This window comes from Homo sapiens, chromosome 6 (genome assembly GCF_000001405.40).
Source record: "Homo sapiens chromosome 6, GRCh38.p14 Primary Assembly".
In the NCBI taxonomy this organism is placed as follows: Eukaryota; Metazoa; Chordata; class Mammalia; order Primates; family Hominidae; genus Homo; species Homo sapiens.
The window spans coordinates 31,718,267-31,737,834 of record NC_000006.12 but is presented as its reverse complement, the minus strand read 5'-3'; the positions used below and the strand labels follow the sequence as shown (position 1 = coordinate 31,737,834).

At 53.8% G+C, this 19,568-nt stretch overlaps 4 protein-coding genes across 15 annotated transcripts, besides 3 other annotated features; 3 read left to right on the top strand and 1 right to left on the bottom strand.

Moving 5' to 3' along the window:
- Positions 230-1,104: an enhancer, noted in NCBI's record as "H3K27ac-H3K4me1 hESC enhancer chr6:31704508-31705382 (GRCh37/hg19 assembly coordinates)". NCBI's record gives its function as "activates a minimal SCP1, AML or CMV promoter by ChIP-STARR-seq in naive H9 embryonic stem cells {active_cell/tissue: H9 hESC(naive)}" and the evidence as "EXISTENCE:reporter gene assay evidence [ECO:0000049][PMID:30033119]".
- Positions 517-7,254, top strand: CLIC1 (chloride intracellular channel 1). Of its 3 annotated transcripts, none has more exons than NM_001287593.1 (7): positions 517-1,039; positions 1,485-1,573; positions 3,572-3,681; positions 3,874-3,999; positions 4,163-4,269; positions 5,437-5,618; positions 6,832-7,254. In NM_001287593.1, exons 2-7 carry the CDS (start codon positions 1,535-1,537, stop codon positions 6,991-6,993), a joined length of 726 nt encoding a protein of 241 aa, NP_001274522.1. In that variant the 5' UTR covers positions 517-1,039; positions 1,485-1,534; the 3' UTR covers positions 6,994-7,254. The 3 variants fall into 3 exon arrangements, with proteins under 3 accessions (NP_001274522.1, NP_001274523.1, NP_001279.2); NM_001287594.3 differs by lacking the exon at positions 517-1,039 and adding an exon at positions 1,305-1,352; NM_001288.6 differs by lacking the exon at positions 517-1,039 and having other exon boundaries at positions 1,305-1,573; positions 6,832-7,236.
- Positions 2,798-3,997: an enhancer, noted in NCBI's record as "MED14-independent group 3 enhancer chr6:31701615-31702814 (GRCh37/hg19 assembly coordinates)". NCBI's record gives its function as "activates an origin of replication core promoter dependent on BRD2, BRD4, P300/CBP and CDK7 cofactors, and independent of MED14, by STARR-seq in HCT116 cells {active_cell/tissue: HCT116}" and the evidence as "EXISTENCE:reporter gene assay evidence [ECO:0000049][PMID:35650434]".
- Positions 2,829-3,123: an enhancer, noted in NCBI's record as "tiled region #5872; HepG2 Activating DNase unmatched - State 1:Tss, and K562 Activating DNase matched - State 25:Art". NCBI's record gives its function as "activates a minimal TATA promoter and a strong SV40 promoter by Sharpr-MPRA in HepG2 and K562 cells {active_cell/tissue: HepG2 | K562}" and the evidence as "EXISTENCE:reporter gene assay evidence [ECO:0000049][PMID:27701403]".
- Positions 7,255-7,571: 317 nt separating the features above from the next.
- DDAH2 (DDAH family member 2, ADMA-independent) lies at positions 7,572-10,795 on the top strand. Of its 4 annotated transcripts, none has more exons than NM_013974.3 (7): positions 7,572-7,784; positions 8,610-8,970; positions 9,090-9,189; positions 9,311-9,384; positions 9,543-9,662; positions 10,143-10,292; positions 10,482-10,795. In NM_013974.3, the coding sequence occupies exons 2-7, from the start codon at positions 8,674-8,676 to the stop codon at positions 10,596-10,598; spliced, it is 858 nt and encodes a 285-aa protein (NP_039268.1). In that variant the 5' UTR covers positions 7,572-7,784; positions 8,610-8,673; the 3' UTR covers positions 10,599-10,795. The 4 variants fall into 4 exon arrangements, with proteins under 4 accessions (NP_039268.1, XP_011512750.1, NP_001289937.1 ...); XM_011514448.3 differs by lacking the exon at positions 7,572-7,784 and adding an exon at positions 8,036-8,152; NM_001303008.2 differs by lacking the exon at positions 7,572-7,784 and adding an exon at positions 8,320-8,473.
- MPIG6B (megakaryocyte and platelet inhibitory receptor G6b) lies at positions 11,121-17,539 on the bottom strand. Of its 7 annotated transcripts, none has more exons than NM_025260.4 (6): positions 14,391-14,462; positions 13,849-14,196; positions 13,603-13,693; positions 13,208-13,248; positions 12,991-13,089; positions 11,121-12,865 (listed from the first exon to the last, which is right to left on the bottom strand). In NM_025260.4, exons 1-6 carry the CDS (start codon positions 14,449-14,451, stop codon positions 12,792-12,794), a joined length of 714 nt encoding a protein of 237 aa, NP_079536.2. In that variant the 5' UTR covers positions 14,452-14,462; the 3' UTR covers positions 11,121-12,791. The 7 variants fall into 7 exon arrangements, with proteins under 7 accessions (NP_079536.2, NP_612116.1, NP_612121.1 ...); NM_138272.3 differs by having other exon boundaries at positions 12,991-13,070; NM_138277.3 differs by having other exon boundaries at positions 11,121-13,089.
- LY6G6C (lymphocyte antigen 6 family member G6C) lies at positions 16,089-19,187 on the top strand. Its single transcript, NM_025261.3, has 3 exons — positions 16,089-16,207; positions 17,632-17,742; positions 18,525-19,187. Exons 1-3 carry the CDS (start codon positions 16,156-16,158, stop codon positions 18,737-18,739), a joined length of 378 nt encoding a protein of 125 aa, NP_079537.1. The 5' UTR covers positions 16,089-16,155; the 3' UTR covers positions 18,740-19,187.

The following is a 19,568-nucleotide window of genomic DNA, read 5'->3' as shown; positions in this document are numbered from 1 at the left end:
CTGCTCCTCCTATGTCCTCCCTGCTTATTTATTTAGGTGTCCCCAAGGACTCTACTCCCACTATTCTGTCTGATCTTTCTTTATCCCCATGACAGGACCAGCTAACAACACCCCTACCCCACCCCCTATACACATACTTCAGGATCGGGCCATGATAATCCCACCCCTCTGCCCCATCTCCAAGGCAACCTGTCAGTGAGACGAGGACAAAGGGCACAGGAAGGGGCCCCAATAGGAAACATAAGTGGAAGCACAAAGCTGACCAAGCTACAGGAACAGACCCCTCCCTGCAACAAAGCCCCTTGCCTCGGCTTTATGTTTCCTTCGCAAAAGACTTCGTCATCTCCCTTCCCATCCCTAACTCTACTTTCTTTTTCTTTTCTTCTTCTTCTTTTTTTTTTTTTTTTTTTGAGATGGAGTTTCGCTCTTATTGCCCAGGCTGGAGTGCAATGGCACCATCTCAGCTCACTGCAACCTTCACCTCCCGGGTTCAATTGATTCTCCTGCCTCAGCCTCCCAAGTAGCTGGGATTACAGGTGCCCACCACCCCGCCTGGCAAATTTTTGTATTTTTAGTAGAGACAGGGTTTCACCATGTTGGCCAGTCTGGTCTTGACTCCCTGACCTCAGGTGATCCACCCCCCTTGGCCTCCTAAAGTGTTGGGATTACAGGCGTGAGCCACCTCACCCGGCCCCTAACTCTATTTCCTATGCCCAATCCCAAGTGTAGGCCACAAGGACTGCAAGTCCTAGTGCTGAGCTGGGCCCGGAGACAGTAGACTGCGGGGGGCACAGGACCTACTGAGACACCAGTCTGGGCAGCTCAGGGAGTGCTGGCGTCACCCCTTCCCTAATCCCAGGCTGCATGGCTAACGGTTCCTATCTGCAGTCCCAGCCTTCCACTTCCGAGTTCTTCTCTCAGACCACAGTCCCAGCAACCCAGAATTTGGATTGGAGTCTGGAAGAAATGCAGAATGATTAAACGACCACCTTTCCATTTGAAGTCCCCATCCCTGAATCTTCACGGGTGTGCCCAAGCTGTTAGTGTCAAGTTTTTTATATGAGGGTCAGTCGGGTTGTACTCAGATTAATGAAGCAGGGAAACTGAGGCAGAAAAGAGTCCTGTGTTCAGGAGAGGTCGGAGAAACAAGGAGGTTTTCAGGACTCCTCCTTAACACCCCCATCCCCATCCTGTGGGAGATCCGAGGATTCCCCTTCCGGACTCACTCCCTACATCGTCGAGTCCCGCCCCCCTCCAGTCCCCTCCCCAGGTTCAGGGCGGGGCCGGTCGGTGAGTCAGCGGCTCTCTGATCCAGCCCGGGAGAGGACCGAGCTGGAGGAGCTGGGTGTGGGGTGCGTTGGGCTGGTGGGGAGGCCTAGTTTGGGTGCAAGTAGGTCTGATTGAGCTTGTGTTGTGCTGAAGGGACAGCCCTGGGTCTAGGGGAGAGAGTCCCTGAGTGTGAGACCCGCCTTCCCCGGTCCCAGCCCCTCCCAGTTCCCCCAGGGACGGCCACTTCCTGGTCCCCGACGCAACCATGGCTGAAGAACAACCGCAGGTCGAATTGTTCGTGAAGGTAAGAACACTTCTCTCCTCAGCCACCCAAATTCCTGGAAGCCAACTCTCACCTTTCCCCCGGTCCAGCCTTAACTCCCCAATCCCTTCCCTCCTTGACTCCCACCCCCAATCCCACGTGCACTCTTTGGTTGAGGGGTGGTTTTGAGAGGGGAAGACATTAACTTGTTAGCAAGTAATGAGAATTCTAGGATCAACCCTGAAAAGTTTGTAAAAGTGCAAGTTTCTAGCAGACTAAAGGAAGGGAAGTGGAGAAAAAGGAGAATTCCCAAAAGTGAGACTGGGGTGGGGTTAGAGGGCGAGCTGGTGAAGGGACAGTGGGGGCCCAGCAGGGTTTAGAAGGGACAGAGGGGAACCTCAGTTAGGACATGTGTCCCTACAAGATCTGAGGGTGAGTAGTGCAGTAGGAGAGGTGTGTGTGTGTGTGTGTGTGTGTGTGTGTGTGTGTGTGTGTGGATGGAGACGCTTCAGGGAAGACGGTGTGTTGAGGGAGGCCTGAGAGTGAGAGCAAGTAAATTGGGAAGCTTTGGAGGGGCGGAACAAAACAGGAGACTGGGATCGGAGTTTGAAAAGCAGAGCTGGAGAGGTGATCGGGTGGCATTGAATATCCCCAGGACTGGGGAAAGGGACAGAAGGGGAGGTGGCAAGAAGACGTGAGTTTAACGTAGCTACCACAAGGATGGGTGGGAGAGAGATCAGACGGAGGAGAAGAGCTCGGTTAGGGCATTTTGGGATTTGGGGGTTGGAGAAGTAGAAGACTTGCCCCAACTCTCTCCTCTCTCTGCGGGTGTGGGTAAGGAGAGATGGTCCTATGGCATTTGGGTAGCAAAACTGCAGGCAGCAGGCTTCTCGGTGTCACCCAGCCCCCCTCTGATTGCAGCGGCCGCTCCCCTCCCTACCGCTGCTGCATTCATTTCCCAGTCTTGGGACCTCCTGGCTGTGCCCCTCCCTCCCTTCCTTAACAGTGTCCTCTTCTCCCCGCTCCGTTTGTGTCTCTCCGTTGGCACGCACGTCTCCCCACTCTCCACTTTCCTGCCGCCTTTCTTTCCCCTTCCCCCCTTTTGTTTCTCTCATCTTTGTGTGTCTCTGCCTGTGTCTCCCTCTCCCTTCTGCTTGGGTTTCTCGGGCAGCCATTCCCTCTCCCTGGGCCCAGGGAAGTCGGAGCCTGCTTGGGTCCGCCCCCTTAGGTGTGGTCCCCACCTCACTCTCACATTCGCCTCCGGGGCTATTTTTACTCGTGGGTGAGGCTGTGCCGCAGAGATTCCGGCCCTGTGTCCTGTGAGAGGATGGTTATTGCAGTCAGAGGACTTGTGCTGGGAGACCCTGGCAGCAGGTTAGGGGTAGCCTTAGCTGCCCAGGCCTCATCCTCACTGTCCCTTCCCCCACATCCTTGACAGGAAGGAAGCCGGAGACAGAGAGATGAATCACCCTCAGCTTAGGGGGAGGTGTCCCTTGGGCCAATGAGGTCACCACTTGCTAATTAGAGGGCAGCCCCTCTCTGTAGGGCCCTCCACATCTCTAGCGCGAGGCCCAGGGCCCCTTGACTAGACTCCCCACCCAAAGACACCTTGGATTGGAGGTGTAGAGAACCAAAACTCTGGCTCCCAAACCCCACCCACCTCTCCTGTCTTCAGACTCTACTCCCTTCAGGAACCCAGAAATCCAGGCTTCTAGCCTACAACTCTGGCCTCACTGAAGTTCCACACCCTTCCCTCTCTAGGATTCAGATCCTCCCAAGTTCTCCAGGACCTCCTCCCTCTACCTACCTCCCACCTGTCCTCAGTGTCTGGGGAACCAGAAGCCTGCCTTTGCAAAACAGTTTCCCATTGATCTGCCTTAGGTTTGACCCAGGCCCAAGGGCAAAGAGCCCATAGTGAGGGGACAGTGTATGTGTCATGACTAGGCAGAAAACAGCTGGTCTGGGAGTGGGAATGCAGGGACTGGCCTAGGGATGGGTGGGGTGCATCAGGCATAACCTTGGGTTGGGGTTACTTTTCAGGCTGGCAGTGATGGGGCCAAGATTGGGAACTGCCCATTCTCCCAGAGACTGTTCATGGTACTGTGGCTCAAGGGAGTCACCTTCAATGTTACCACCGTTGACACCAAAAGGTAGGCCTGCTTATGTTCCTTGAAACACCCCTGGTGTACACATGTGTGCAAACACACACCCACCCGAGTCCTTCTGTCATGAACATTTTTGCCCTCCCCCTGGAGTCCCTTTCTTATCCCACGTCCTCCATTCCCCCTTTCTGGTTCTTCCTGACCCCCATTTCCAGTCCTGATTCCTGATCCTTTCTCCAGGCGGACCGAGACAGTGCAGAAGCTGTGCCCAGGGGGGCAGCTCCCATTCCTGCTGTATGGCACTGAAGTGCACACAGACACCAACAAGATTGAGGAATTTCTGGAGGCAGTGCTGTGCCCTCCCAGGTATAGGGGCACTCAGAAAGTGGAGAGGTGGAGCAGGGAGATTCTGGGAAACAGACAGTTTGCAGAAATGGAAAACAGAGATGGTGGTGGGGCTGGGGCAGGAGAGCTAGCTGAGGTTCCTCCCAGGAAGACATCTTACCTCATTTTTCCCATTGGCTTTCAGGTACCCCAAGCTGGCAGCTCTGAACCCTGAGTCCAACACAGCTGGGCTGGACATATTTGCCAAATTTTCTGCCTACATCAAGAATTCAAACCCAGCACTCAATGACAGTGAGTCTTGTGGGTCAGAGGCCTGGGTCCTGGGAGGAATAGAGAGGACCCAGCGGGTAGGAGACATTAGGGGCACCTGGACGTTCAGATATCAGGGAGATGAAGCAGATGTTCGTAAATTTCCCCCAGCTTCCCATTTTTGCTTTACCTCTATATTTCCCTGCATTTTCATTGGCCAAGACTTTTAAGCTTTTCTCATTTGTTCCCTAGCCTCTTCTGCCCCACTGAGGACGTTAGTTGGCTGCTGGCCTGTTTTCTGGCAGAATAGGGTCATGCTTAAGAACAGTCATCACTCTAGATCCAGACTACCTGAGTACAAATCCAACTAGCCGTATAATTTTGAGCAATCATTTCACCTCTCTGTAAGTCCATTTCCAGATCCACAAAATTAGGATGACAATACCTATTTCATGGGTTGATATAAATTTTTTTTTTTCTTTTTTTTTGAGATGGAGTCTCGTTCTGTCGCCCAGGCTGGAGTGCAGTGGTGCAATCAGCTCACTGCAACCTCTGCCTGCCGGGTTCAAGCAATTCTCCTGCCTCAGCCTCCTGAGTAGCTGGGATTACAGACGTGCATCACCACGCCCAGCTAATTTTTGTATTTTTAGTAGAGACAGGGTTTCACCATGTTGGCCAGGCTGGTCTTGAACTCCCGACCTCAGGTGATCCACCTGCCTCGGCCTCCCAAAGTGCTGGGATTACAGGAGTGAGCCACTGCACCCGGCGATATAAATGAGTTTGTAAAATGTAAAGTGTTCACTTTGGGAGGCCGAGGCTAGCGCACCACCTGAGGTTAGGAGTTGGAGACCAGCCTGGCCAACATGACTGGTCTCTACTGAAAAAAATACAAAAATTAGCCAGTTGTGGTGGCAGGCACCTGTAATCCCAGCTACTCAGGAGGCTGAGGCAGGAGAATCATTTGAATCTAGGAGGCAGAGGTTGCAGTGAGCCGGGATCATGCCACTGCACTCCAGCCTGGGCAACGGAGCAAGACTCCGTCTAACATAAAATAAAATGTAAAGTGCTTAGAATAACACATAGAAAAGTAACTACATGAGTGTTAGCTATTATTATTTTGGACTCACCATTAGTATCCACCCCCAACGGGCCTTTTCGGACTATGTCAATCTTTTCCTGAAGTTCTAATCAGTTCCCTCTCTTGCACAGATCTGGAGAAGGGACTCCTGAAAGCCCTGAAGGTTTTAGACAATTACTTAACATCCCCCCTCCCAGAAGAAGTGGATGAAACCAGTGCTGAAGATGAAGGTGTCTCTCAGAGGAAGTTTTTGGATGGCAACGAGCTCACCCTGGCTGACTGCAACCTGTTGCCAAAGTTACACATAGTACAGGTGTGTGGTTATTGCGGGAGGAGAGGATGACCACTGGAGTGGCCCTTTAAGGAGCTCCCACATGGGCTTCCCCTGACAACCACTCTAAAGACGATTTCTTTCTTAGGGTGGTTTTCATAAATTGCTACCAATGGCAGACCCCACCCCAGTCCTTTGCAGCAGTCATTGCTAACAAGACCACTGCTTGAGATAATTATATTCCATGATGTAAGTCATGGGTGCAAACAGACTAGCAAAGAGGAATACATCCCAGTATTACTTTTGAAGAATGCTCTTCCTGTCTCGGTATCACTGCCAAATTCCCAGATTAGACAGAGCAGGCTTTTCCTAAAGTCAAAGCTTTAACTTTCTTTATAACTTCAGTCTTCACTTCCTCTTGTGGAAGATCAAAACTGCTGGTTCCCATGTTTTTGTCATAGTCTCAAAGCTATGGTTTAGTTTGTGCAACATGGGCCTGACATCAGTCTGCCACACAACTATGTAGTGAACATCTGTGTACTAAGCATTGAAAGATACACAAGTGTATGGTGACTGGGCCTTGCTCTCAAAGGGTTGAAATCTGAGACAATAAAATATTCACATGAAAGTTAAGAATATATGATGAAAAGTCAGATGGGCCGGGCGTGGTGGCTCACGCCTATAATCCCAACACTTTGGGCGGCCAAGGCTGGTGGACCACCTGAGGTTAGGAGTTCGAGACCAGCCTGGCCAACATGGTGAAACCCCATCTCTACTAAAATTACAAAAATTAGCCGCACATGGTGGTGGGCACCTGTAATCACAGCTATTTGGGAGGCTGAGGCAGGAGAATCACTTGAACCCGGGAGGCGGAGGTTGCAGTGAGCCAAGATCGCGCCATTGCACTCCAGCCTGGGTGACAGCAAGACTCCATCTCAAAAAAAAAAAAGTCTGATGAAAAATATAGAGACAAAAGTCACCTGTGTCAGTGCCTGAAGTGGTATAGGGGGAAAAAGTCACTGTGGAAATTCAAGAGGAGAATTTTATAAGTAAATTATATCTCAAGTTTTAAAAACTCAGGAAAAATGGCTGGTTATTAAAAGCCAGGATTTCAGTAAGTGAGAAGGAAGGCTAACGACAGTACAAGACAGTGAGGAGTTGAGCTGGTTTTATCATGTCGGCCTGGGGAGAAGGGAAAGCCAAGGTGGCTTCCCTGGGTCTAACATGTTGGTCCCTCTCCTCTCCCCATCCTCAGGTGGTGTGTAAGAAGTACCGGGGATTCACCATCCCCGAGGCCTTCCGGGGAGTGCATCGGTACTTGAGCAATGCCTACGCCCGGGAAGAATTCGCTTCCACCTGTCCAGATGATGAGGAGATCGAGCTCGCCTATGAGCAAGTGGCAAAGGCCCTCAAATAAGCCCCTCCTGGGACTCCCTCAACCCCCTCCATTTTCTCCACAAAGGCCCTGGTGGTTTCCACATTGCTACCCAATGGACACACTCCAAAATGGCCAGTGGGCAGGGAATCCTGGAGCACTTGTTCCGGGATGGTGTGGTGGAAGAGGGGATGAGGGAAAGAAATGGGGGGCCTGGGTCAGATTTTTATTGTGGGGTGGGATGAGTAGGACAACATATTTCAGTAATAAAATACAGAATAAAAATCAAGTGTTTTTACGCAATGGGGATTTAAAGTGTGGGCGACATGGAATGAGGGGTGGGTCAGTGATCTTGAGCTCAGGGCAGAAGCCAGGAATTAAGAAGGGAAATGTTTGTGGTGGGGCTGCTATGTTTCGTGCCGGTCCGCCGGTCCGCCGTTGCGCTGTTCTGAGGTCTACGAAGCGTTTGCAGCCCCGTCGCCAGGGCCGGCCAGATCTGGGTGGGCCTGGGCAGCGCTCGCTGGGCGGTGCCGATTTCTGGCAAGGGGGGCGCAGTCTGGATGTAATGGGCGAGGCTTAGCAGGGCGGAATGGGCGTGGCCCGAAGAAGCCCCGCCCCGTCCCGCTTAGACAATGCCCCGGAGCCGCCAGACCGTCGCGCCCCTGCCCCATCGTAGTATATGAGCTCGCCTACACAAGGACCCGCGCTAAAAGCCAGAGCTCCCAGTCCCCGAGGCTTGAAGACGGGGACTCCCTTCTCCACCAACTCTGTCCTCGGGGGGTGGGGCCCCAGCCGAGATCACAGCGCGACAGGAGTGGGGGTGGCCGCTGGAGGTGAGTCTTGCGTGGGGGGCCCTGAACCGTGTGGGGGCCGGAGTTTGGGGGTGCCGGGCCCATGCCTGCACCAGACAGAGAGTATGGGGAGCCGGTATTTGGGCGCGGAGCTAGGCGGGGTGGACTTTGGGACATAGACGGGGAACCGGGTCCTGGAGCCGGGAGTAGTGCCAGCGCCCCGGAACCACGCCCCCTGTTACCCCGCCCCTCGCATTTCGTTTTAGACCTCTCCCAGTCCTTCGGGACTCGGTCTGGTTTATACTAGGTCGCGCTAGGGGCAGCGTGACCAGCCAGGGCGGAGAGAGGATGCTTAACTCCTTAGGCTCGAACTCCTCCCTTCCTACCCACCTCTCTCCCTTCTCGTTCGGGTATTCAGGACTTCCATTCCCCAGCCCCTGCCTCTCCAGCTTTCTCCTTCTGTCCCATAACCCCTGCGGGTCGCGGGCTGGACTTCCAGTCCCTGCGGTAGCGAGCAGCTGAGGGTTAAGGGGGCGGGGCTGCTGCATTTTTGGGGAGTGAGCGCATCCTAGTGGCTGCCAAGAGGGGCGCCCGACAGGGACCTCACAAGCCCCCAAGCAGGGGCAACAGGTGTTTTGGAGATTAGAGACCCTAGCCTTGTTCCTCAGGCTCCTCTTAAAGAATCTGACCCCTGAGGGTGCTGGGTAGAGTGAGGTCGACAGGAGCGGAAGGTCTGGAGTGGGTGGGGCGGAGTGGGAGGGACGCCTAGAGATGGCAGGAGGAAGACCTGGGCGCTCTTAACCACCCCCAACGCCCTTGTCTGCATGTCTTTTTCTCTGTCTCCTCCTTTTCTGTTTCTTCTCCCAGACAGGTGAAGAAACAAGAAAACTAAGAAATCCGAGCGGTTGGAGGGGGAGTCTGTGTGGATGGGATGGGGACGCCGGGGGAGGGGCTGGGCCGCTGCTCCCATGCCCTGATCCGGGGAGTCCCAGAGAGCCTGGCGTCGGGGGAAGGTGCGGGGGCTGGCCTTCCCGCTCTGGATCTGGCCAAAGCTCAAAGGGAGCACGGGGTGCTGGGAGGTAAACTGAGGCAACGACTGGGGCTACAGCTGCTAGAACTGCCACCTGAGGAGTCATTGCCGCTGGGACCGCTGCTTGGCGACACGGCCGTGATCCAAGGGGACACGGCCCTAATCACGCGGCCCTGGAGCCCCGCTCGTAGGCCAGAGGTGAGCGCCGTGGCGCGGGTGTGGTATGGGGAAAGGCAGAAGGAACTGGATGTCGGGGCTTTGGGGAAGAATTGAGGATGGGGGTGTCACAGCTCCGTGCCCTCTTCTCCTATCCTAAGGTCGATGGAGTCCGCAAAGCCCTGCAAGACCTGGGGCTCCGAATTGTGGAAATAGGAGACGAGAACGCGACGCTGGATGGCACTGACGTTCTCTTCACCGGTGAGGCTGGGGGGAGGCATAGGTCTTGGCACAGGGAAGTAGAGTTTGGGAGACTCGGCCGTCTGGAGCCTTGTTTCTAACTCACTCCCGCCCTCAAACCTCCGCGGCCTCCCGGACTCAGGCCGGGAGTTTTTCGTAGGCCTCTCCAAATGGACCAATCACCGAGGAGCTGAGATCGTGGCGGACACGTTCCGGGTGCGGAGCGGGACCAGCCTAGGGAGGGAGGGGGTGCAGGTGGGGGTCGGAAGGGCCTGGGCGCCCGCTGAGGAAATGAGAGGCAGAGAGCAGCCTATGTTTGAAGATACCCCATCACCCCTCCCGCGCCCCTGAATACCTCCCTTCGCTCTCCCTAGGACTTCGCCGTCTCCACTGTGCCAGTCTCGGGTCCCTCCCACCTGCGCGGTCTCTGCGGCATGGGGGGACCTCGCACTGTTGTGGCAGGCAGCAGCGACGCTGCCCAAAAGGCTGTCCGGGTGAGGAGGGGGCGGGGCCAACGAAAGTGGGCGCAGTTCTGGGCCCGGGAGGCCGGGAGCTGGGAGGCTTAGGAAATTAGCCCTAACCCCTGCCCTCAATGGGCTGTCCATCTTACATGAAAGAACACAGGAGAAAATAAGAAGTTACAACAGCAGGACTGGGAACAGGGGTGATTAATTTGCTCTTCCGGAGTTTCAGGAAACCCCAAAGGTGGCACCTAAACTGTGACTCTAAGGATGGGTAGGACAGATAGGAGGGGCTGGGGAAGGTAGGGGGTTGAAAATAACTGCATGTGATTCCAAGGTGGAAATTAGCAAAGGTAACTAAAGTACTTAGTGTCTGACATATCGTAAGCTCTATGTGCTTGCTGTCATTATTTTCCACAAATGTCAGTCCGTCCCCAGCCCTTAGTGGTGGTTGAGCAGGCAGACACAGCTGTGGAGAGGTTCTGAGACTCGAACACTTCCTCTTTCCTCTAGGCAATGGCAGTGCTGACAGATCACCCATATGCCTCCCTGACCCTCCCAGATGACGCAGCTGCTGACTGTCTCTTTCTTCGTCCTGGGTTGCCTGGTGTGCCCCCTTTCCTCCTGCACCGTGGAGGTGGGGATCTGCCCAACAGCCAGGAGGTGAGAGAGGGCAGGAACTCCAACACCAAGCACCATCAGAGAAAAGAGTTTCAGGCTTTCCTAGTGGGAGGAAGGAAGGGTACCTTCTCTAGAAGCCTGGGTGGGGCCACTCTGAGCTGGCTGGAAGAGTGGCCTGGCTCAGCCTGAGGTCTCACTCCCCTCTCCCCACTCCATGTCTTCCCTGTGCAGGCACTGCAGAAGCTCTCTGATGTCACCCTGGTACCTGTGTCCTGCTCAGAACTGGAGAAGGCTGGCGCCGGGCTCAGCTCCCTCTGCTTGGTGCTCAGCACACGCCCCCACAGCTGAGGGCCTGGCCTTGGGGTACTGCTGGCCAGGGGTAGGATAGTATAGGAAGTAGAAGGGGAAGGAGGGTTAGATAGAGAATGCTGAATAGGCAGTAGTTGGGAGAGAGCCTCAATATTGGGGGAGGGGAGAGTGTAGGGAAAAGGATCCACTGGGTGAATCCTCCCTCTCAGAACCAATAAAATAGAATTGACCTTTTAGACTGGGCTGTGACTGGTGTCTTACTGGGGCAAAGGGATAGGGCAGGGCTGAAACCTGAGTTTGGGGTCAGTGCAGGGAAGAAGGCCTCTTATTCAAAAATCTTGTTAGGTACTTATCAACTCATTGCCCAACCATGTCATAGGTACTTGAGCACAAGATGAACAAGACAGAATTTCTATCATGGGAAGTGTGTCCAGGGCAGAGAAAAGAGTGTATGGGTGGATTGCTCACTGAATTTATCTAAATGTTAGATGATTCAGAGACTGGTAGATTACCAGTCCACCCCTATTTGATAAAGAAAAAGAAATGACACTTCCAGGGACATTCATTTTCATTCATTCATTTAATGAGGCTTAGCAATGATATCAAAAGGGTCAGTCTCCTGACGTTGGGGAGCTCACAGTACATGCAAATTTCTTACAAATTGAAATACAGGTTGTCATGGAACAATTTACAGAAGGCTGTTTCTATGAGGGAAATAAAGGGGGTGCGCCCTAGGGCATCAAAGTATATGCAAGGGGTGGCCAAGGAGGGTCACCTTCCCAGAAAAGGCCATACTTGAACTAAGGATAAATAAGAATTAGCCAGGCAGATAGTGTGAAGGAGGGAAAGGGGTAATACAGGAAGAAGGAATTGCACTGGGCAAAGACATTTTGGGGCTAGGGAGAATTCTCTAAGGCTGGCATTTTCTAAGATGTGCATGTGGAATGACACAGGTAAGCCTGGAGAGTGGACAAAGTGCTGTAGTACCTTGTATCCAAAGCCAAGGCACGTGGGCACAGAGCTGAAGCTAAGGAGAGTACTTCAGTTCTGTAATAAGGGCTGTCAGGAGCAGTTATCTCTTGAGTAGGATCTCTCTGACTTCAGGGAGGAAAGCAAGGGTAGGAGGATGAGGTGGGGCTATGGGTAATCCAGGAAGGAAGTGAGCAGAGTACATTCACGTGGCAGCGCTGGGCATGGAATACAGTGTGGGTTTGACAGTGATGTTAAGATAGAAAGACTGGACTTCATGGCTCATTGTGTGGGAGTAAGAGAGAAAGGAGGTCTGCGTGACTCCCAGTTTCTGGGTTGGGCAACTGGGTTGTTAAAGAGAATACAGAGGAGAATTAAGTGAGCAGCTTCAGAGATGACAATGAGTTGGGTTTGACATTCAGAGTGCGAAATGCCTGAGGTCAGTCAGGCAGAATGTCTAAGTGGAAGTTTGTTAATCCCAAATCTGAGATCTGAGCCAGAGAGAGTTCTGAGTGTCATTTGCAGAGGAGGGGGCTGAGGACTGACTGTTGATGAGAGTGTCCCAGAAGAAGAGAAAGGGACAAACCTAGAATGGTGGGAAATACTGTAGGGATATGGAGCAAGGAAGAGGAGTCCAAAAAGAAAACACCAGCAACAAAGAAAAACAGCTTAAAGAATCAGGCCGGGCGCGGTGGCTCACACCTGTAATCCTAGCACTTTGGGAGGCCGGGGCGGGTGGATCACGAGGTTAGCAGATCAAGACCATCCTGGCTAACACAGTGAAACCCCGTCTCTACTAAAAATACAAAAAATTAGCTGGGCGTGGTGGCGGGCGCCTGTAGTCCCAGCTACTCAGGAGCCTGAGGCAGGAGAATGGTGTGAACCCGGCAGGCGGAGCTTGCAGTGAGGGAGATGGTGTCACTGCACTCCAGCCTGGGCAACAGAGCGAGACTCCGTCTCAAAAAAAAAAAAAAAAGGAGCTAGGGCTTGATTGGGTATAGAGAGGACACTGGTGGTGAGGGAGACATGGAGGTTATAGGAGAGATGGGAGTAAGTTTAGAAGTAAGACCAGTGGCAGAGACAGCCTGGAACCCAGGTCTCCCAACTCCCAGTCTAGCACTTATTTCTATACCATGGTGCCTTCCTCTTCCAGGTGAGGAACCAAGGAGGGGAGAGGGATTATGGGGAGCTGGGATCCCCTAGCTTGGGAGGTTTGGAGTAAGGGCTTCCCTTCAAACTACAACTGCATAGATGGTGGAGGCATCAGCAGGGTCCGCTGTGGACAGCCGGCGGGGCCTGCTGAGGGCTAGATGGTCCAGATCCGCATAGAGCAGGCTCTGGAGGAGGAAGGGGAGGAAGACAAGATGGTCTCCACAGTCTTCCTTGGGGTTCAGGCCTTTTTTTTTTTGGTCCATTTTCCTCAGAGATTCTGGCTATCCCCTTCCCATCCCCATGCCCTTACCGGTTCCTGGTCCAGGTCCCCTGGAATCTTGGGCTCTTCCTCCTTTACTGGCCTCTGGGGCTCGGTTTTCACAAGTGGAGCTATGTGGGGGGGACAGAGCTGAAGGATGGAGAGAAGGTGACCAACGTGTCTGCTCCCAGCAAGGGCTCAGACTCAGGAATTGAGGGGTGGGGAGTGGGCATGTAGGAGAAAGAAAATGGGGTGGAATTAGTCTCACCAAATCTAGGGAGTGGTCGAATCGGTTGCGGGGGCAGGCGCCTGTAAGGGACATATGAGTCTTTGAGAACCACCAGTCTTGTCTCACTGGTTCTCCTGGGACTCGCCACGCCAAGGACAGCCCAGCAACTTGAAGGCTCAGACCGGAAACAACTTAGACTCTACCCCACCGACAGTCCAGCCCAGGCTCTAACTCTGCTGCACTTCCAGCTCATCTGCTCTGGTGGGGCTCTACTCACCAGTCAGCGGCCTCGCTCCCACCTTTGACCTCTCCCATTCTTCGCCAAGCCAGGACCAGAGCTCTAGGTCTAGCTCTTTCTTTTGCGAAGGTTCTGGTCCTGCCCCTTCCACCTCTGGTCACTCCCCATTTAACGAGGCCGGGTCCCTCCTGCTCACCTGTGCAGCCACCAGACCAGGCCCAAAGCTCCCAGTCCGAGCACCAACCCAGCGCCCAGCAGCGGGATCAGGAGCTGGGGATACACGGACCCTGGGGGAAAGGCGTGGCGGGGAGGGATGCTGAGGTCAGGGGTTTGACGAGGGACAGCCAGCAGTCCCGCTCAAGAACCCCCAGCCAAGGCCCTCTTCCCTCCTCCGGGTATGTGTCGGAGTTAAGTACCCTTGTGCGCACAGGCCTGCACCTACCATGGGTAGGCCCGGGGGCCTTGCAATAGGTCCTGTCCCCCAGCACGTGAAGCACTGTACGGCTCTCGTCCTCGTGGCGGCCCTTGCAGAAAAAAGTGCCCGAGTCCCCCGCGCTCAAGAGGAGCTCCAGCCGCCGGATACCAGAGTCCAGGGAGCGTAGGCGGCCGACGAAAGGCTGGAGGGGAGGCACGGTGGGGGTCCCGCTCGAAGAGGCCCACAGGATCGGTCGGCGTCCTTTGGACAGGCCCTTGCAGGCCGGGAAGCTGGGTGCCCAGACCCAGCGGATGGGATGAGAGACTCCTCCGCAGGAGAGATTCACCCGGTCCCCAGGGCGGCCGTCCAGAGAAGCTAGGAGAGGCCGGAGGCTGTGGTTAGGGCACGTCCACAGGGCAAGACGACCCTCCATCCCGTCTCCTCTTTCTCTTCTCTGTTCTGCACTCCAGCCATCCTGGATCTTCCCACACACAACCCACCCTACTAGGCGGCCCTTATCTTGCTTCAGCCCCTCTGCGTCTATCACAACTCTCCCAGGGATCGCTTACCCCCAGGGTTCCCTTGGGCCCTCGAGAGCAGCAGCGGTAGCAGCTGCAGAAACACAGCCATGGTTAGGATGTGGTGAGGAGAAGCTGCGAGCGAATCAGCGGCGTGGGGCCGGTTGGGGGGGGACCGGAGGGAAGTTAGGCGTGGGGAGAACGGAGGGGCTGGGGGGCTCCGATAAGAGAGGGGGCGGGGCCACCAGCTGCCCAGATCCCTTTGGGAATCCTCGCAGGCAAACTCGGAGTCTTCAAATGGTTCTCACTTAAAATGTGTGCTCGGGCCATTTACACAAATGCTTTGGCCTGCTTAACTTTTCAGGTGCGCCTGTAATCCCAGCTACTTAGGAGGCTGAGGAGGGAGGATCGCTTGAGCTCAGGAGGTCGAGGTTGCAGTGAACTGTGATCAGGCCATTGCACTCCAGCCTGGGCGACAGAGCCAGCCAGACCCTGTCTCAAAAACAACAACAAAAAAAACTCCTGTTTTGTAGGGGATTGTGATAACGAAATAAAGTAATACATGTAAACTGCTTAGAATACATAGGATCACTATGTAAGTGCTTGCCATTATTATTACTATTTCTATTCTTTTTTTTTTTTTTTTTTTTGAGTCAGAGTCTTGCTCTGTGGCCAGGCTGGAGTGCAATCTCGACTCACTGCAGCCTCCGGCTCCTGGATTCAAGTGAGTCTCCTGTCTCAGCCTCCTGAGTAGCTGGAACTACAGGTGCATGCCACCACACCTGACTAATTTTTGTATTTTCAGTAGAGATGGGGTTTCACCATGTTGGCCAGGATGGTCTCGATCTCTTGACCTTGTGATCCACCCACCTCGGCCTCCCAAAGTGCTGAGATTACAGGTGTGAGCCACCACACCCGGCCTACTATTTCTATTCTTATTTTAGCTTCTACCTCACCTCTCTGTGCCCATGCTGTTCCTCCTGGCTTGGTACCCTGCCCAAGTTGGCAGGTTTTGACTGGGGAGGTGCTTTGGAGCAGGTGCACACAGCCACACCTAGGACAATTGCTGCTGCTGGACTGGAGCAACAAGGCCACACCAAGCGCAAGTGGAGCACGGGTGACATCCTGAGAACCTTCATGGGAGCCTGAGGCAGCCCTACTTAGCAGACCTGTGGTGGCTCTCCTGGATGAGTAGCCCCAGCCCCTGCCTCTGCTGCTGTGGCATCACAGAAGCCATCAGTGAGTCACTTATTGCTGAGCAGGCATTGGAAAGACCGAGTGGGGGCTGAATGGAGATTAATTTGACCCATTCCTCCCCCAATTTCCACCAGCATGCCCCTATCAATGCCCAGCAGGGACCCAGGGACCCAAATTCAGCAATTAATTTGGGCCACATCCTTTTGTCCATTTTCCAGGAACCAGCAGAAGCTGCCACCATGGACACTGTAAATCACAGAGGCCTTTGATGATGCTCATTCAGAGGACTGAGCAGCAGGACTCTTAGCTGGGGACCAGGAAGGGCATCTTGGCCTGAAACCAAGAACCACAATGGCATTGGCCACTAGTGGCACCTGCCTTCCCCCATCCCTCTCTCCCATCCCTACTCCCCACTCAGTCCTGCTCAGTGCCTTCCCACCCCTTGTCTTTTCTCTGGTCAGCTGCGTAGTAAGTGAGAAGGGAGGGGCTACCAGAGGCAGGGAAGGGAGGAGCCTTTGGGTTTATAAATTCCAAAAAGGCCACTCAACTCCTAGAGCTGGATCCTTGAAAATCTACTCTATCAGCTGCTGTGGTTGCCACCATTCTCAGGACCCTCGCCATGAAAGCCCTTATGCTGCTCACCCTGTCTGTTCTGCTCTGCTGGGTCTCAGGTGAGCACCTGGGGGCCCCAAAGACCTGGTTTGCCTGGTCAGGACCTTTACACCCTGCTCTACCCACTTCCCGGCCCTACCCACCACTCGGGATCCCAACACCCCCAGCCCCAACTGGCTCAGCTCTCCTGTGCCACCAAGACCAGGCTTCCCTATGACAGCCTCCTTGCTCTATTTCTCAAAAAGCCAGGTCTCCATCCATCCTCCCCACCTCCAAGAAAGACCCATTTCTCTCACCTGCCAGGGCTCTGGGTCCCCTGTTCCCCACTCCAAGGTGTCTCCTCCTTGGAAACTCTGGTATCCAGTTCCCCAACCAGCCCCACTTCAATATGCAACTCTCCAGAGTCTAGCTTACCTGCCTTCTCCTCTATCTGCTGTGCTCAGTAAGGTGTCCTCTCGAAGACCTAGGCATCCAGCCCCAGGCTCCTTTTGTAACCTACCCTCCCCATCTACTCCATCAGGGACTCACATGTTCAGTCTCTCAGCCATGGCCTTTCCTAGATACCCCCTACTCCCCTCCTGGGTTGCATACCTCCTCCCATACAGGGGATACAAACTTTCTAGATGGTTGCAGTGACATCTAAGAGCCTCCATGGAAACAGAGCGTTTTCTTGAGCCTTCTGAAGAGGGGACAACTGGGCCACTTACCTCCAGGGTGAAGTGGATTTCACTGAGGTACACTTACCAGGCTCTTCCACCCTCGGACCCTGCGTCACCAAATCTTGCCTGCCCAAACCTTGAATTAACTGAAGCAGGAAACTTGGGGTGCCACCTTCTGTATCCACCCTCTCCATTTTGATAAGGTGCTAAGATGGAATCTGGTGATCTGTCTCTCAGGTATCATTCCTTTCTGCTGAAGAGCTACTGGGGTGAGAGGATTCTATTCAGGTCTGGTTCCTCTTGCCACACTCTTGCCAGCTCCAGGAGGTGAAGAGTAAATTGTAAATTGCTAAAGCTGGCCACAGATGGCTTTCTCGCCAGCCTCAAGTTCCAAGGCATTTCTGACAGTGTTGTAACCCTCATGATTTTCATTTTTATTATTTCTCCTTCTTTCAAGTTTCCATCTCCTCCTTCACCATCCACATTCTTTCCCCATGGTATCTTCCTCACATTCCATCTATCTCCAGCCCCATGTTTTTCTTCATAGTTCTGTCCCTCTTGACTCACCTCCAAACGGGGTGGAGTGATGGAAGATATGTAGGGCGTGGGCCTTTCACAAAGCAACAGCTCTACCCTTACCTGCCGCCCACTTTCCATTTTCCCTGCATCACTCACCTGCTCTGTGCTTGCTAGACCAAACAGCCAAACAGGTTGGAGCACCTACGGGATGGGCTCTTCTCCACCCTCCACCCCTGCCCCCAGCTCAGCTTATCCCCAGGTAAGTCAGAGACCCCATCACCTCAGCCTGACTTGTGTCTTCCCAGCTGACATTCGCTGTCACTCCTGCTACAAGGTCCCTGTGCTGGGCTGTGTGGACCGGCAGTCCTGCCGCCTGGAGCCAGGACAGCAATGCCTGACAACACATGCATACCTTGGTAACATCCCCTTCCTTAGTGGGGTGAACAGGGAGGTGGGAGCCTCTATGACCAGGACTGAGGCCCAAATGGGTCTAAGACTGAGATGGAGAAGCAGAGGATTATAGCAATGATAATATTTGGCCAAAGATGGTTGTGTGCCAGGCAACATCCTATGTCTTTGCATGCCTTTTTTTCAATTAATGTTCATGACAACCCTGTGATGTGGGTGCTATTATTATACTGAGAAAACGGCCTCAAAAAGAGACAGTAACACAGCCGGGCATGGTGGCTCATGCCTGTAATCCCAGCACTTTGGGAGGCCAAGGTGGTTGGATCACTTGAGGTCAGGAGTTCAAGACCAGCCTGGCCAACATGGTGAAACCCCATTTCTACTAAATATACAAAAATTAGCCAGGCATGGTAGTGGGCGCCTGTAATCCCAGCTACTCGGGAGGCTGAGGCAGGAGAATCGCTTGAACCTGGGAGGCGGAGGTTGCAGTGAGCTGAGATGGCACCACTGCACTCCAGCCTGGGCGAGAGTGAGACTCTGTCTTGGAAAAAACAAAAAAACAAAAAACAGAGACAGTAACAGGTCCATGGCCAGCAAGTGATAGAACCAGGACTGGGGGAGTGGTGGGTAAGGATGTGCAGAAGGAAGATCAGACTAAGAAAAGAGAAGGGGAGGGCCAGGGACAGAGTTGGGAAGGAAGGAAGCCTAGGTGGGTGGATGGGGTGGGGAGGTGGACACAGGCATGCCAGGTGCCCATCCTGGCCGATTCCCTGCCCATTCCCACCCCTAGGTAAGATGTGGGTTTTCTCCAATCTGCGCTGTGGCACACCAGAAGAGCCCTGTCAGGAGGCCTTCAACCAAACCAACCGCAAGCTGGGTCTGACATATAACACCACCTGCTGCAACAAGGACAACTGCAACAGCGCAGGACCCCGGCCCACTCCAGCCCTGGGCCTTGTCTTCCTTACCTCCTTGGCTGGCCTTGGCCTCTGGCTGCTGCACTGAGACTCATTCCATTGGCTGCCCCTCCTCCCACCTGCCTTGGCCTGAGCCTCTCTCCCTGTGTCTCTGTATCCCCTGGCTTTACAGAATCGTCTCTCCCTAGCTCCCATTTCTTTAATTAAACACTGTTCCGAGTGGTCTCCTCATCCATCCTTCCCACCTCACACCCTTCACTCTCCTTTTTCTGGGTCCCTTCCCACTTCCTTCCAGGACCTCCATTGGCTCCTAGAAGGGCTCCCCACTTTGCTTCCTATACTCTGCTGTCCCCTACTTGAGGAGGGATTGGGATCTGGGCCTGAAATGGGGCTTCTGTGTTGTCCCCAGTGAAGGCTCCCACAAGGACCTGATGACCTCACTGTACAGAGCTGACTCCCCAAACCCAGGCTCCCATATGTACCCCATCCCCCATACTCACCTCTTTCCATTTTGAGTAATAAATGTCTGAGTCTGATAAAATGTACATTTATTATAAGAAGACCTAAGGGTCAGGTCACCTCCCAGGAAATAATACTCTCAATCTCCCTCCCTTACACAGGAATCCTTCAGGGAGGTTCCCTGGGAGGCTGGGCTGGGGAAAATGGAGAAACAGGTTTTTCAGGTCTTCATCCTCCCTTCCAGTGTCTCCAGGTGGCACACAACAACTCATATCCTAAATTTAGGCCACACCCCTGATGTATTGCCAAGAAGAAGGTGCGGCCTGGCTTGAGGGCTCTCCAGAAAGGATAGGAGAGGTACATGGAGATGGGGCCTGAGACCCTGTTTCTTCAGTTTCTCTCAGGTTAGAGTCAAAGGCCTCACCTAGCCTAGTTAGTAAGTAGGGCATCAAGCAGTT